This window comes from Homo sapiens, chromosome 17 (assembly GCF_000001405.40).
Source record: "Homo sapiens chromosome 17, GRCh38.p14 Primary Assembly".
Taxonomy (NCBI): Eukaryota; Metazoa; Chordata; class Mammalia; order Primates; family Hominidae; genus Homo; species Homo sapiens.
The window spans coordinates 2,568,820-2,585,610 of record NC_000017.11 but is presented as its reverse complement, the minus strand read 5'-3'; positions in this window follow the sequence as shown (position 1 = coordinate 2,585,610).

The following is a 16,791-nucleotide window of genomic DNA, read 5'->3' as shown; positions in this document are numbered from 1 at the left end:
ATCTCAGGTGATCCACCCACCTCGGCCTCCCAAAGTGCTGGGATTACAGGTATGAGCCACCATACCTGGCCAGGTAAAATAAACTTTCTGTCCCTTTCTGCTAGTTTTATTTAACTAGTGGAGTAAGAGATTAATTCTCACCTAGAAGGCTTAAAGGAGATTTTATGAAGGAGTGATTTAAAGTAGGACTGTACAGGCGTAAGCCACCACATCTGGCCAAAGGTGTAACTGTTAAAGTCAGTAGCAACAGCCAGGCACAGTGGCTCATGCCTGTAATCCCAGCACTTTGGGAGGTCAAGGCGGGAGGATCATCTCAGGTCAGGAGTTCGAGACCAGCCTCGCTAACGTGGTGAAACCCCGTCTCTATTAAAAATACAAAAATTAGCCAGGCATGGTGGAGTGTGCCTGTAATCCCAGCTACTTGAGAGGCTGAGGCAGGAGAATCACTGGAACCCGGGAGGCAGACGCTGCAGTGAGCTGAGATTGAGCCACTACACCCCAGCCTGGGTGACAGAGCAAGACTCTGTCTTAAAAAAAAAAAAAAAAAAAAAAAAAAAAGCCGGGCACAGCGGCTCACACCTGATCCCAGCACTTTGGGAGGCTGAGGTGGGAGGATCATAAGGTCAGGAGTTCAAGGCCAGCCTGGCCAACATAATGAAACTCCATCTCTACTAAAGATAAAAAAAAAAAGAAATTAGCCAGGCATGGTGGCTTGCGCCTGTAATCCCAGCTACTCGGGAGGCTGAGGCAGGAGAATTGCTTGAACCTGGGAGGTGGAGTTTGCAGTGAACCAAGATCTTGCCATTGCACTCCAGCCTGGGTGACAGGGCAAGATATGGTCTCAAAAATAAAAATAAAAATAAAATAAAATCAGGAGCAAGACAAGGATGTCATCTATTACTATTCATAGTAACAACTGCTCTCAAAATTCTAATCTAATGCAATAAGATAAGAAAAAGAAATGACGGAATTGGAAAGGAAGAGACACATTACTTTCCTCTTTTTTAGAGGAATAAATATTCATAAAAAGTTAAAATGGCTGGGTGCGGTGGCTCATGCCTGTAATCCCAACATTTTGGGAGGCCGAGGCAGGTGGATCACGAGGTCAGGAGTTTGAAACTAGCCTGACCAACATGGTGAAACCCCATCTCTACTAAAGATACAAAAAAGTAGCCAGGCATGGTGGTGCGCGCCTGTAATCCCTGCTACTCTGGAGGCTGAGGCAGGAGAATTGCTTGAATCCAGGAGGCGGAAGTTGCAGTGAGCTGAGATCTCGCCATTGCACTCTGGCCTGGGCGACAGAGTGAGATTCCGTCTCAAAAAAAAGAAAGAAAAAAAGTTAAAACAACATATAAACTAAAGAGTAAACATTCCTGTTATTCTATTTCATTTCTCAGAGGTAATCACCTTCAACAGTTCGATGTGTCTTTTTCAGACACTTTTCTATGCATATTTAGGCATATATATTTCTGAGTGTATATACATGGATTTTTAAAAATAAAACTGGGATCATAAAATACTATTATCCTGCAACATACTTTATCAACTTAACAAAATCGCATGGACCAATTTCCAGTTTGGTACTAGCGATCTACCTTATTCTCTTCAGTGGATGCACAGTATTTCATAGTATTAGCTACTGTAATTTATTTAACCATTTCTTTTTTTTTTGAGACGGAGTCTTGCTCTGTCACCCAGGCTGGAGTGCAGTAGCGCGATCTCGGCTCACTGCAAGCTCCACCTCCCAGGTTCACTCCATTCTCCTGCCTCAGCCTCCCGAGTAGCTGGGACTACAGGCGCCTCCCACCACGCCCGGCTAACTTTTTTTTTTTTTTGTATTTTTAGTAGAGATGGGGTTTCACTGTGTTAGCCAGGATGGTCTCGATCTCCTGACCTCGTGATCCACCCGCCTCGGCCTGCCAAAGTGCTGGGATTATAGGCGTGAGCCACTGTGCCCGGCTTTTTTTTTTTTTTTTTTTTTTGGAGACAGTCTTGCTCTGCTGCCCAAGCTGGAGCGCAGTAGTGCGATCTTGGCTCACTGCAACCTCCGCCTCCCAGGTTCAAGCTATTCTCCTGCCTCAGCCTCCTCCTGAGTAGCTGGGACTACAGGCACTTGCCGCCTCACCTGGCTATTTGTTTTTTTGTTTGTTTGTTTGTTTTTATTTTGTTAGTAGAGACGGGGTTTCACCATGTTGGCCAGGCTGGTCTCGAACTCCTGAGGTCAAGTAATCTGCCACCTCAGCTTCCCAAAATGCGGGGATTATAGGCGTGAGCCACTGCACCTGGCCTGTTTAACCATTTCTTACTGATGAATTTTTTATTTTATTTTAATTTTTGCTCTTAAGGAAAATTTCTTAATGAATACCTTTATCCGTGTATCTTTGCTCACTTGTGAAGAATAATCTCCTAGAAGTGTAATCAGTAGGTGAAAGGATATGCAATTTTAAATTTTTCACAGCCTCAAATTATCCTCCAAAAATACTTACCAATGTATACTCATAGGGTTTGAGAACATCCATTTACCCCCATTCTTACCAATGCTGAAACATAAATTCTTGCGACTTTGCTCATCTAGTAGATGAAACACACACAAAAAAACCCCAAAGATTATTATTATTTGTAGATTATATGCTCACTTTCCTGGAAAACTCAAGAAAATCACTTAAAAAAAAGAAAATTAATAAATAAACCGTAGAGCTGTGTGTGTGTGAAGGAAAGCAATTTTATGCTTAGGCAAGTGTATACATTATATTCCAGAGGGCAATTTCTCAGTATGAAGTGAGTCAAAAACATTGGCCGAGGCAGGCAGATCACCTGAGGTCGGGAGTTCGAGACCAGCCTGGCCGACATGGAGAAACTCATCTCTACTAAAAATACAAAATTAGCCGGGCGTGGTGGCGCGTCCCTGTAATCCCAGCGACTCAGGAGGCTGAGGTAGGAGAATTGCTTGAACCCGGGAGACGGAGGTTGCCGTGAGCCAAAATCGCGCCATTGCACTCCAGCCTGGGCGACAAGAACGAAACTCCGTCTGAAAACAAAAAACAAAAAACAACATTAAAAAATGCTTCTCTTCTGACCCAGCAACGCAAAATCCAGAATTTTTTTTTTTTTTTTTTTGAGATGGAGCCTCGCTCTTGTCACCTAGGCTGGAGTGCAGTGGTGCAATCTCAGCTCACCACAACCTCCACCTCCCAGGTTCAAGGGATTCTCCTGCCTCAGCCTCCTGATACCTGGATTACAGGCACCCACCACCACGCCTGGCTAATTTTTGTACTTTTAGTAGAGATGGGGTTTTGCCATGAAGTCCTGACCTCAGGTGATTCGCCCACCTTGGCCTCCCAAAGTGCTGGGATTACCAGCATGAGCCACTGCACCGGGCCCAGAATTTTTTTTTTAGGAAAATAAGAAAGTGTGCAAAGATTTATCTACAATAATTTTTACTGAAGCATGGTTTATTGCTATGAAAAATAAAAAACAACCTAGTTGTCCAACAATAAGGGAGTGGTTAAACAAACGATGGTCCATCCACAAACACTACACATCTATTCGAAGTTATCTTTTTTCTTTTTTTTTTTTTTTTGAGGCAGAGTCTCGCTCTGTTGCCCAGGCTGTAGTGCAGTGGCGCAATCTCGGCTCACTGCAAGCTCCGCCTCCCAGGTTCACGCCATTCTCCTGCCTCAGCCTCCCAAGTAGCTGGGACTACAGGCGCCCGCCACCATGGCCAGGTAATTTTTTGTGTTTTTAGTAGAGACGGGGTTTCATTGTGTGACCATGCCCGGCTAATTTTTTTTGTATTTTTTTAGTAGAGACGGGGTTTCACCATGTTAGCTAGGATGGTCTTGATCTCCTGACCTCATGATCCACCCGCTTCGGCCTCCCAAAGTGCTGGGATTGCAGGCATGAGTCACCGCGCCCGGCCTTTTTTTTTTTTTTTTGAGACGGAGTTTTGCTCTTGTTGCCCAGGCTGGAGTGCAATGGCACGATCTTGGCTGACTGCAACCTCCGCCTCCTGGGTTCAAGCAATTCTCTTGCTTCAGCCTCCCAAGTAGCTGGGATTACAGGTATGCACCACCACACCCAGCTGATTTTGTATATTTAGTAGAGATGGGGGGTTTCACCATGTTGGTCAGGCTGGTCTCGAACTCCTGACCTCAGGTGATCCGCCCGCCTTGGCCTTCCAAAGTGCTGGGATTACAGGCGTGACCCACCACGCCGGGCCTGAAGTTATCTTATAGATTAAAATTTGTTGACAAGTTAATATTTTCAAACTATAGCGTTCAATGAAAAAGTCACAAAACAGTTTGTGCAATATGATAACGATAAAAATGTAAATAAGTAGTTCTCAATTGCCCGTTAACTTTAGTTTGGTCAAATGTAGTCTAGTCTAAGGGTAAATTCTTTTTGAAGCTCAAGTGAAAATGCCTATCCAAATGTAAGCTTAACTAACACTGACATCCAAGCTAAGCTACCAGGACTGCATGCAAATATAAAACTCAGAGATGATCCTGGCATAAAAAGAAATGCCTGTTCTGGGACCTTAAAATTAGGCTTCTTAATGAAATTAACAGCTGTTTGAAAAACATCTCTCTGCTTGTTTACAAAGATCACAAGCTTTGCCAGGGTATCTCAGGATTGTTTTAAGCGTCCCCAGGGATCCTGGGAGCCCCATATTGCTTTTCTCATTTAGACGCTTACCCAGTGGTTGGAAGAATCCAAGCAAGATGCTTTCAGCTAAACATTGCAGTGTCCTCGGCAAAAAGGAGGGCCAGTGTTAGCTCTGTGACAATTCCCTGTTTTCCCAAACCATGAATCAGCCCCATTGTCTCACCCGCCTCTGTGCATCATTCATTCTGTTCATCCCAGCTAACGGCAAAGGCAGGAACATGGCAGAGAAACTAAAACTCCTATTTAATTCTGCTGGTAAAGAGAGTCAGGATTTCTCATGGGCTGCTTTGGAGAAATGTCTGGAAATGTGTCAGAAAGCTGATTTTATGGAAGGTTCATTTATTTACAGTAAACTTAAATGTACTATAAATTCCTAATTTACAAACAAATACCTGGCAATTGACCAGCATTTTTCATCCGAAGGTAAGAAGCCTCCAAATGTGAATATATAAGCATTTTCTGGCACGATATCATGTCAGTTTTTTTCCTCCCCTCCTCCACTGCCTTTTCTTCCTCCCAGTTTCTCCTCTCTGCTCCTTCCCAGCTGGAAACAAATGATAGTTTAACCTGGATAATACCCTCCCTTGTTCACTTTGTATAGCTAATGTTCACTCAGCTGGCCTAAACCTTTCATGCGATTTATTTTATAAGGAACAGAAGAGGGGAGGATTCCGTCTCTGGCTCACAGCACCCATTGCCAAGAAAGTCAGCTCTGCTTCTCAGTCCCCATGGGCTGGGTCCAAGACTTGTCTTTCTACTCCATGATAACTCTTTTTACCTCTATTGTGGTAGGTAGGACTCTTTGGTTCTAAAGAACAGAAACCCATTTGAGTGAGCCTAAGGGAAAAAAAAAGGGCAGTTTTGAAAGGATAGAGAGGTGCTTTCATAGCACTGATGGACAGGTATGCAGCAGGGTCCTGAAAGCATCTGGAACCAGGACCAGCAAAGCAATCTTTGTCATTTCTTTTCTTTTCTTTTTTTTTTTTTTTTGAGACGGAGTCTTGCTCTGTTGCCCAGGCTGGAAAGCAGTGACACGATCTCGGCTCACTGCAACCTCTGCCTCCCGGGTTCAAGCGATTTTCATGCCTCAGCCTCCCAAGTATATGGGATTACAGGCATGGGTCATTATGCCTGGCTAATGGCTCACACCTGTTATCTCAGCACTTTGGGAGGGTAAGGAGAGCTGATCACTTGAACCCAGGAGTTGGAGACCAGGGCTAGCAAAACCCCAGCTCTTTGAAACAAAGACAAAAATTAGCTGGGCATGGTGGTGTGCACTTGTAGTCCCAGCTACTCGGGAGGCTGAGGTGGGAGGATTGATTGAGCCCAGAAGGTCAGGGCTGTAGTAAGCTGTGATCCTGCCGCTGCACCCCAGCCTGGGAGATAGAGCAAGAGCCTATCTCAAAATAATAATAATAATAATAATAATAATAATAATAATAATAATAACTTTAAAAATATAGTAAACTGCCTATTTTCCAAAGTGGCTGTACCCTTTTCACATTCCCACTTGCAATGTATATGTATGAAACTTCCAGTTATTCTGTATCCTCTACAACATTTCGTATTATGAATTTATTTAATTTAATTAATTAATTTATTTATTTTGAGACGGAGTCTCGCTCTGTCACCCAGGCTGGAGTACAGTGGCAAAATCTCGGCTCACTGCAAGCTCCGTCTCCCGGGTTCACACCATTCTGCTGCCTCAGCCTCCCGAGTAGCTGCGACTACAGGCACCTGCCACCATGCCCGGCTAATTTTTTTCGTATTTTTTTAGGAGAGACGGGGTTTCACCGTGTGAACCTCGTGATCCGCCCGCCTTGGCCTCCCAAAGTGCTGGGATTACAGGCATGTGCCACCACGCCCGGCTTATTTTTATTTTAACCACTCTAATAAGTACGTGGTGGTATCTCATTATGGTTTTAATTTGCACCCGATGGCTAATGACATTGAACTTTTTTTCATGTACTTGCCATCTTTTTCTCTTACCTAGTGGAGATCTATTTATATATTTTGCCCACTTTTTTCCTTTTTTTAATTTTTAATAGAGATGGGGGGAGGTCTCACTATGTTGGCCAGGCTGGTCTCGAACTGTTAGCCTCAAGTGATCTGCCCGCCTCAGCCTCCCAAAGCACTGGGATTACAGATGTGAGCCACCACACCCAGCCCCGGATACAAAGCTTTTATCAGATGTGTGTTTTTAAAATATTTTCTTTCAATTTGTGTCTTGTCTTTTCATTTTCTTAACAGTGTTTTTGGAGGGCAGAGGTTTTCATTTATTGAGTCTAATTGAAACATTTTTTACGGTTCATGTTTTTTGTGTGTCTTATCTATGAAATTTTTGCCTGTCCATAAGTTATAAATATTTTCTTCTGAAAGTTTATAGCTTTAAGTTTAAATTTAGGGGTATGATTCATTTCAGGTTCATTTTTGTATATGGTACACATTATGGATCATGGTTCCCTTTCTTACATATTAATATCCAATTGTTCCAGCACCATTTGCAGAAATCAACTTGTTCTTAACTACCACATTATGTTGTATACAACAGTTATCCTCCCTATTTGTACCAAAGTCTGGTGAGGTTTGTGGATATACAAGTGACACACTTCGCTATTCTGTACAATTTGCAAAGTACTGTCTATTTAATTACATAATTTCATTTGAATCTCAATTAGCCCTTTGAGGTAGAAATAAAATATTATTACTTCCATTTTTCAGATGAAGAGATGGAGAGTAGCTGGGTGCTTTGCCCAAGATGACAAAGCATTCAGTGAGAGCATCAGGATTGAAACCCAGGTCTTCTGCAATCAGTGCTATTTTCTTGTTTTTTTTTCTTGTTTTTTTTTGTTTGTTTGTTTGTTTTGGCGGGGGACAGTGTCACTCTGTCGTCCAGGCTGGAGTACGGTGGCATGATCTTGGCACACTGCAACCTCCGCCTTCCGGGTTCAAGCGATTCTCCTACCTCAGCCTCCTGAGTAGCTGGGATTACAGGCACGTGCCACCATGCCTGTACTTTTAGTAGAGATGGGGTTTCGCCATGTTGGCCAGGCTGGTCTCGAACTCCTGACCTCAGGTGATCCCCCTGTCTTGGCCTCCCAAAGTGCTGGGATTACAGGCGCGAGCCACCACGCCGGGCCAAGCTGCATTTTCAAAGATCCAAGCTGTTCCTAAAAATAGACTCTACTTGGGAGCCCTGGAAGCAAAAGTTAATGCTCACTACTTAATTTTGAGTTTACTGCACCTTGAAGACTGGAAAGGTACAGAGATTTGGTGCAGCTGGGATCTAAGATTTGGTGCAGCTGGGATCTGAGAGGGTGGTCATTTGGGCTGCCCACAAGAAGTGGTCTCCTGTTTCCACCCTGCTATATGAACTGGCCATGGTCATGCAAACTTTATTTTACAAAAACGTAACTGGAATTATTTTCTTTAAAACATTCCTGGTTGGCCAGGAGCAGTGGCTCACACCTGTAATCCCAGCACTTTGGGAGGCAGAGGCGGGTGGATCACGAGGTCAGGAGTTCGAGACCAGCCTGGCCAACATAATGAAACCTCGTCTCTACTAAAAATACAAACTATTAGCTGGGCGTGGTGGCGGGTGCCTGTAGTCCCATCTATTTGGGAGGCTGAAGCAGAAGAATCGCTGGAACCCGGGAGGTGGAGGTTGCAGTGAGCCGAGATTATGCCACTGCACTCCAGCCTTGGCAACAGAGTGAGACTCCATCTCAAAAAGAAAACAAAACAAAACATTCCTGGCTGAGCGCGGTGGCTCACACCTGTAATTCCAGCACTTTGGGAGGCCGAGGCTGGCGATCACCAGGTCAAGAGATCAAGATCATCCTGGCCAACATGGTGAAACCCCATCTCTACTAAAAATACAAAAATTAGCTGGGCATGGTGGCAGGTGCCTGTAATCCCAGCTACTCGGAAGGCTGAGGCAGGAGAATCGCTTGAACCCAGGAGGCAGAGGTTGCAGTGAGCTGAGATCACGCCACTGCACTCCAACCTGGGTGACAGAATGAGACTCCATCACAAAATAAATAAATAAATAAATAAAAATAAAAATAAAAAATAAAAAAATATCCTGAACTTCAAATAGTCCAAATATCAGAGCAATAAACGGATTTGCTTTATGTTTTGGGTTATTTCCCCAGCCTCGTAGCCACGTCTTTTCTCTGGGAAGCATACCCACAGATTACATCACTAGAGTGGGTTCTTGGGAGCCATTTTGCTTCTATCTGACTCTGCCTCCCTGGCCATGGCTGCATGGCATGGACCACAGCCCCAACTCAGATGATCACTGGGAATTTAGGATTGGACTGAGAAGCAGCGAATCAGTTCGAAGGTGGCTGGGATTTTAACATGTGGACTGGGAGCTACACAGCAGCCATATTCCGCTTGTGAAGTGGAGCACAGGGGAGAAAATAAAAGCAGATATGCAGAGAGAAAAGGACTGTAGCAGGGCGGGGGCAGCAGAGACACAAGATTGCTTTACAGGCCAGGCGTGGTGGCTCATGCGGGCGGATCACTTGATGTTAGGAGTTCGAGACCAGCCTGGCCAACATGGCGAAGCCCCGTCTCTACTAAAAATACAAAAATGAGCTGGGTGTGGCGGCGCACACTTTTAATCCCAGCTATTCAGGAGGTTGAGGTGGGAGGATCGCTTGAACTCAAGAGGTAGAGGTTGCAGTAAGCCGAGATCGCACCACTGCACTCCAGCCTGGGTGACAGAGCAAGACCCTGTCTCGAAAAAAAATTTTAAAATGGATGTTCATCAACTGGTGAATGGATAAGTACACGTAGTGCAGTCATACAATGGAATACTATACTGCAGTAAAAGGAGCAAATGATTACTGCACTCCCTTGGATGAACCTCAGATACATTGTGCTGAATGAAAGAAGCCAAGCTCCAGTGGTTCCATTTATATAACATTCTGGAAAAATCAAATTATAGGGGCAGGCTGGGCGTAGTGGCTCATGACTATAATCCCAGTATTTTAGGAGGCCAAGACGAGAGGATCACTTGAGCCTGGGAGTTCAAGACCAGCCTGGGCAACATAGTGAAACCCTGTCTCTACAAAAAATACAAAAATTATCTGGGTGTGGTGGCACGCACCTGTCGTCCTAGCTACTTGAAAGGCTGAGGTGGGAGGATTACTTGACCCCAGGAGGCGGAGGTTGTAGTGAGCCAAGATTGCACCACTGTACTCCAGCCCGGGCAACACAGCAAGATTCCGACTAAAAAACAAAAAATTGTAAGGACAGAAATCAGGTCAGTAGTTGCCAAGGGGTAAGGGCAGACGGTGAAGTACAAAGGAGCACAGAGAACTTTTGGGGAATGGAGTTATACTATATCTTTTTGTTTGTTTGTTTGTTTTTGAGACAGGGTCTTGCCCTGTCGCCCAGGCTGGAGTGCAATGGCACAATCTCGGCTCACTGCAACCTCTGCCCCACGGGTTCAAACGATTCTCCTGCCTCAGGCTCCAAAGTAGCTGGGACTACAGGCGCCCACCACCATGCCCGGCTAATTTTTGTATTTTGTAGAGATGGGGTTTTGCCTGTTGGCCAGGCTGGTCTCAAACTCCTGATGTCAGGTGATCCACCCACCGTGGCCTCCCAAAGTGCTGGGATTACAGGTGTGAGCCACCATGCCTGGCCGAGCTATACTATATTTTGATTGTGGTGACAGTTATACAACTGCCTGTATTGGGCAAAACTCATAGAACTGACTGGGTGCGGTGGCTCACACCTGTAATCCCAGCACTTTGAGAGGCCGAGACGGGCAGATCACCTGAGGTTGGGAGTTTGAGACCAGCCTGACAAACATAGAGAAACCCTGTCTCTACTAAAAATACAAAATTAGCCGGGCGTGGTGGCACATGCTTGTAGTCCCAGCTACTCAGGAGGCTGAGGCAGGAGAATCCCTTGAACCTGGGAGGCAGAGGTTGCGGTGAGCTGAGATCGTGCCATTGCACTCCAGCCTGCTCAACAAGAGTGAAACTGTCTCAAAAAAAAAAAGAAAAAAAAAAAACTCATAGAACTGTATACCTAAAAAGTGAATTTTACTGCATGTAAATCATTTCTTAATAAACCTGACATTTAAAACAAAAACAAGTTTGGCAGTTTCTCAAAAAGTTAAACACAGAATAAACATATGGTCCAGCAATTCTACAGCCAGGTGTATAGCCAAAAGAGTTGAAAGCCAGGACTCAAACAGTAGCATTATTCACAATAGCCAAAAGCTGGAAACAACTCAAATGTCCATTGAAGATGAATGCATAAACAAAATGTGGTATATATTATTTTCCTTTTTTTTTCTTTTTTTTTTTCTGAGACAGAGTCTGACCCTGTCGCCCAGGCTGGAGAGCAGCGGCGTGATCTCGGCTCACTGCAACCTCCACCTCCCAAGTTCAAGTGATTCTCCTGCCTCAGCCTCCCAAGTAGCAGGTGCATGCCACCACAAAAATATGATATATATTAATACATACAATGGAATATTATTCAGTCATAAAAAGGAATAAGGCCGGGCACCTATAATTCTGGCGTATTGGGAGGTCAAAGCGGGAGGATCACTTAAGCCCAGGATTTCAAGATGAGTGTGGGCAACATGACCAGACTCTGTCTCTACTAAAAATAAACAAATTGCCGGGCGCGGTGGCTCAGGCCTGTAATCCCAGCACTTTGGGAGACCGAGGCGGGCAGATAACCAGGTCAGGAGATCGAGACCATCCTGGCAAACACAGTGAAACCCCGTCTCTACTAAAAATACCAAAAATTAGCCGGGCATGGTGGCAGGTGCCTGTAGTCCCAGCTACTCGGGAGGCTGAGGCAGGAGAATGGCGTCAACCCGGGAGGCAGAGTTTGCAGTGAGCCAAGATCGCACCACTGCACTCCAACCTGGGTGACAGAGCGAGACTCTGTCTCAAAAAAGAAAAACAAGGTGGGGCACGGTGGCTCACGCTTGTAATCCCAGCACTTTGGGAGGCTGAGGTGGGTGTATCACGAGGTCAAGAGATGGAGACCATCCTGGCCAATGTGGTGAAACCCCGTCTCTACTAAAAATACAAAAAATTAGGTGGGCATGGTGGTGCACACCTGTAGTCCCAGCTACTCAGGAGGCTGAGGCAGGAGGATCGCTTGAACCTGGGAGTTGGAAGTTACAGTGAGCTGAGATCGCACCACTGCACCCCAGCCTGGTGACAGAGGGGGACTCCACCTCAAAAACAAAACAAAACAAAAGTATGCTTAGTGAAATGAAATAGTATCATAAAAACGTATTGTACTAATTTAATATTTGATAAATGGGATTTCTTTTCATTTATATTCTTTATTAGGGAGGTCGAACGTCCCTCCTCATTAATTTTTTTTTATTGTTTTTTTTTTTTGAGACACAGTTTCACTCTTGTTGCCCATGCTGGAGTGCAATGGCGCAATCTTGGCTCACTGCAACCTCTGCCTCTCAGGTTCAAGCGATTCTCCTGCCTCAGACTCCCGAGTAGCTGGGATTACAGGCGTGTGCTACCATGCCCGGCTAATTTTGTATTTTTAGTAGAGATGGGGTTTCACCATGTTGGTCAGGCTGGTCTCAAACTCCCGACCTCAGGTGATCCGCCCGCCTCGGCCTCCCAAAGTGCCTCCCAAAGGGATTACAGGCGTGAGCCACCACGCCCCGCCATCCCCCCCATTTATATATTTGTAACCTCTTTTTTGTTTATGTTTTTTTGTTTTGTTTTTTGTTTTTGGTAGAGACGGGGTTTTGCCATGTTGCCCAAGCTGGTCTCGAACTACTGGACTCAAGCAATCCACTTGCTGTGGGCTCTCAAAGTGTTGGGTTTACAGGCGTGGGGCTGTCACGCCCAGCCTGTTTATTTGTCAATGTTCTTGGTGCATTTTTCTATTGTCGTATCCACCTTTTCCTCATAGATTAGTAAGAGACCATAAACCATTTGTCTATTACATATGTTGCAAGCATTTCCCCCAGTTTGCCATTTGTGTTTCGACTTTGTGAAGAGATTTTGGCACCAAAAAGCATGGTGAGCCAGATGTGGTGGCTGATGCCTGTAATCCCAGCACTTTGGGAGGCCAAGGCAGGTGAATCACTTGAGGCCAGGAGTTTGAGACCAGACTGGCCAACATGGTAAAACCTTGTTTCTACAAAAATGCAAAAATTAGGGCTGGGCGCGTTGGCTCACACTTATAATCCCAGCACTTTGGGAGGACGAGGTGGGTGGATCACCTGAGGTCAGGTGTTCGAGACCAGCTTGGCCAACATGGTGAAACCCCATGTCTACTGAAAATACAAAAATTAGCCGGACGTGGTGGCGGGTGCTTGTAATCCCAGCTACTCAGGAGGCTGAGGCAGAATAATCACTTGAACCCGGGAGGTGGAGGTTGCAGTGAGCCAAGATTGCGCCATTGCACTCCAGCCTGGGTGACGAGTGAAATTCCGTCTCAAAAAAAAAAAAAAAGCAAAAATCTCCCAGGTACTCCAGAGTCTGACGCGGGAGAATTGCTCAGACCTGAGAGGAGGAACCTGTGGGTGAGCTGAGATCTTGCTGCTGCACTGCCTGGGCTACAGAGCGAGACCCTGTCTCAAAAGAAAAAGAATGTGGTGGGCTTTTTGTTTTGTTTTGGTAGTCAGAACTATTATCTTTTCCTTCCTGTTTTCCACCCTTAGGGCCATATTTAGGAAGTCCTCTACCACCCACAATCATAATAGTACTCATTTTCTTTCTAGAACATTTATGGTTTCATTTTGCACCTTACTTTGCATGTGGTACAGAGTAGACATAAAAATAACTAACTTGTATGAGGCACATTCTGTGTAATAGGCACCGTGGTTTTACTTTTGTATACTCATTATCCCTTTTAATCCTCATAATCATGTGAGGTAGTCATTTTTATTACCTTGCTTTTAAATATGGGAGAAATTAGGCTTTGGGAAGTTAAGGATCTTGCCTGCAATTTACACAGCTAATCAGTGGCAAAACTGGCATTCAAACCCCAAGTCTGTTTACTTTCAAAGGTCTTTGTGTGTGTATGTGTGACAGCGTCTCCTCTGTCACCTAGGCTGGAGTGCAGGGGCACGATCATAGGTCACTGAAGCCTCAACCTCCCAGGCTCAGTTGATCTTCCACTTCAGCCTCCTGAGTAGCTGAGACCACAGGTGTGTGCCACCAAGCCTGGTTAGTTTTTTAAAGATTATTCGTAGAGATGGGGTCTCCCTATGTTGCCCCATCTTACTTTCAAGGGTCTTAATCATTGCTCTGTATTTTTCTACCTTTACTCTCAAATTTTTAGTCATTTTTTCTGGTATCATTTGTCAATTCAGCCTTTCCCCCACTGGTTGATGCCACAATTTTTTTTTTTTTTTTGAGACAGAGTTTCACTCTTGTTGCCCAGGCTGGAGTGCAGTGGCACAGTCTTGGCTCACTGCAGCCTCCGCTTCCTGGATTCAAGCGATTCTCCTGCCTCAGCCTCCTGAGTAGCTAGGATTACAGGTGCATGCCACCATGCCCGACTAATTTTTTGTATATTATTTTTTTATTTTTTCTTGAGACCGAGTCTCGCTCTGTCACCCAGGCTAGAGTGCAGTAGCTCGGTCTCCGCTCACTGCAACCTCCGCCTCCCGGGTTCAAGCAACTCTTCTGCCTCAGCCTCCTGAGTAGCTGGGACTACAGGTGTGCACCACCACATGCCTGGCTAATTTTTGTATTTTCAGTAGAGATGGGGTTTTGCCATGTTGGCCAGGCTGGTCTCAAACTCCTGACCTCAAGTGATCCACACACCTTGGCCTCCCAAAGCGCTGGGATTACAGGCGTGAGCTTTGGTGCCTGGCCGATTGACGCCACTCTTAATATCTAATAGCTTTTGATAATTTTTGAGGTCTATTTCTGCCCGTTTTTTCTCTTCTATTGATTCTTCTGTCCATTCCAGTGTGCACATAGCATACTGTTCTAGTGACTGCTGCATTATTTATACATTCTATTATCTGGTAGGCCAAGTCACGGATAGATGATCTTCTTTTTCAAAGTTTTCAAATTTTTCTTTCATAATGTATTCTTCCAGAAAATCTTTAGAATTATATTGCAAAGTCCTCCAGAAATTCCACTGAGGTTTTTGCTGAAATTGCATGAAAAAGGCTACTGGGGGCTGCGGCTGTCTTGTGTGCGGAGAGTTGAGCTCATCAGGTTCATCCACTCATGGTGCCCATGGTCTTTCACGGTCTCCCATTCATTTGAACCCCACCCTTACTCTTGGTCCACATTCCCCTTCCCCTCCCACATAAACACCCACCATTATGTGTTTCTTGGAAACATAGGTGTAGTAAAAAACATACTCCTGTTTTGTGTGTATGGTTTTTTTTTTCTTTTTGATTTCTTTTTCTTTTTCTTTTTCTTTTTTTTTTTTTTTAACACAGAGTTTGCTCTTGTTGCCCAGGCTGGAGTGCAGTGGTGCGATCTTGGCTCACTGCAACCTCTGCCTCATGGGTTCAAGCGATTTTCTTACCTCAGCCTCCCTAGTAGCTGGGATTACAGGTGCCCACCACCATGCCCGGCTAATTTTTTGTATTTTTAGTAGAGACAGGATTTCTCCATGTTGGTCAGGTTGGTCTCAAACTCCTGACCTCAGGTGATCTGCCCGCCTCGGCCTCCCAAAGTGCTGGGATTACAGGCTTGAGCCACCGTGCCCGGCTTCTTTTCTTTTCTATTTTTATTATTTCTGCAATAAAAGCCACATATGTTGTATGTTTTCTATTTAAATAAACAGTATGGGTCCAAGAATCTTTTTCTATTCCTTTCCAACACTGTTTTTATGTTTGTTTGTTTGTTTGTTTGTTTGAGATGGAGTCTCACTCTGTCGCCCAGGCTGGAGTGCAGTGGCACAGTATCGGCTCACTGCAACCTCCGCCTCCCGGGTTCAAGCGATTCTCCTGCCTCAGCCTCCATAGTAGGTGGGGATAACAGGTGCGCCACCACGCACAGATAATTTTTGTATTTTTAGTAGAGACGGGGTTTTACCATGTTGGCCAGGCTGGTCTGGAACTCCTGACCTCAAGTGATCCACCCGCCTCTGCCTCCCAAAGTGCTGGGATTACAGGCGTGAGCCACTGCGTCCAGCCCCAGCACTGTTTTTCTGACCTCCTCCGGCCGCTGCCTGTCCACCTCGCTCCTGGGTCCTACCGCTGAGCAGCAGCACATGAGATGCACCCAAATATTCCATTAGTGATGGACACCACCTCCTCATTTTTACAACAAATCTGCAGTGAACATCCTTGTACACGACCCCTTGTGGATGGGCGAACTCTCAGATGTACAGAATTCACCTCCCAACCCAGGCTGAGATTGCTGGTTGCTGGGTCTTATATCCTTGACTTCCCCAATTCAGCCACATTTGTTTCTTAAATATCTGCACCAGTTTGCACTCCCATAATGAGACAAAAGGATGATCATTTCTCCAATTTTCACCCTGCTATTTTCTAACTCTAATTTTTGTCCCTCTGCGAGGTATAAAATGGTATCTCATTGTTTTAACTTGCATTTCATTGATTACCAGTGAGTTTGAACATCTGTTTTTTATTATTTCATTTTATTTATGAGACGGACTCTAGCCCTGTCACCCAGGCTGGAGTGCAGTGACTCGATCTCGGCTCACTGCAACCTCCGCCTCTCAGGTTAAAGTGATTCTCCTGCCTCAGCCTCCCGAATAGCTGGGACTACAGGCCCGTGCCACCACACCTGGCTAATTTTTTGTGTTCTTTTTCGTAGAGACAGGGTTTCACTGTGTTAGCCAGGATGGTCTCGATCTCTTGACCTCGTGATACACCCTCCTTGGTCTCCCAAAGTGCTGAGATTATAGGCGTGAGCCATGGCACCTGGCCAGGAACTGCTTCTTTTACAAATTGTCAGCTAATGCTGATGTTCAGCACCAACCTCCACTGCACTTTGAGTTATTCACTGCTCCCAATTCCTGAATCTTTCCAGTCATCTTGCTGCTTTTTGCTTCTCGTGGTCTTCTCTCTCTGCAGGACCTAGAAAAGAGAAAGCTGAAACCTAAATCAATTATCGCTAATCCTTCCCGTCTTCCAAAATGGGGTCGACATCACTCATATTCTCTGCAACTGTT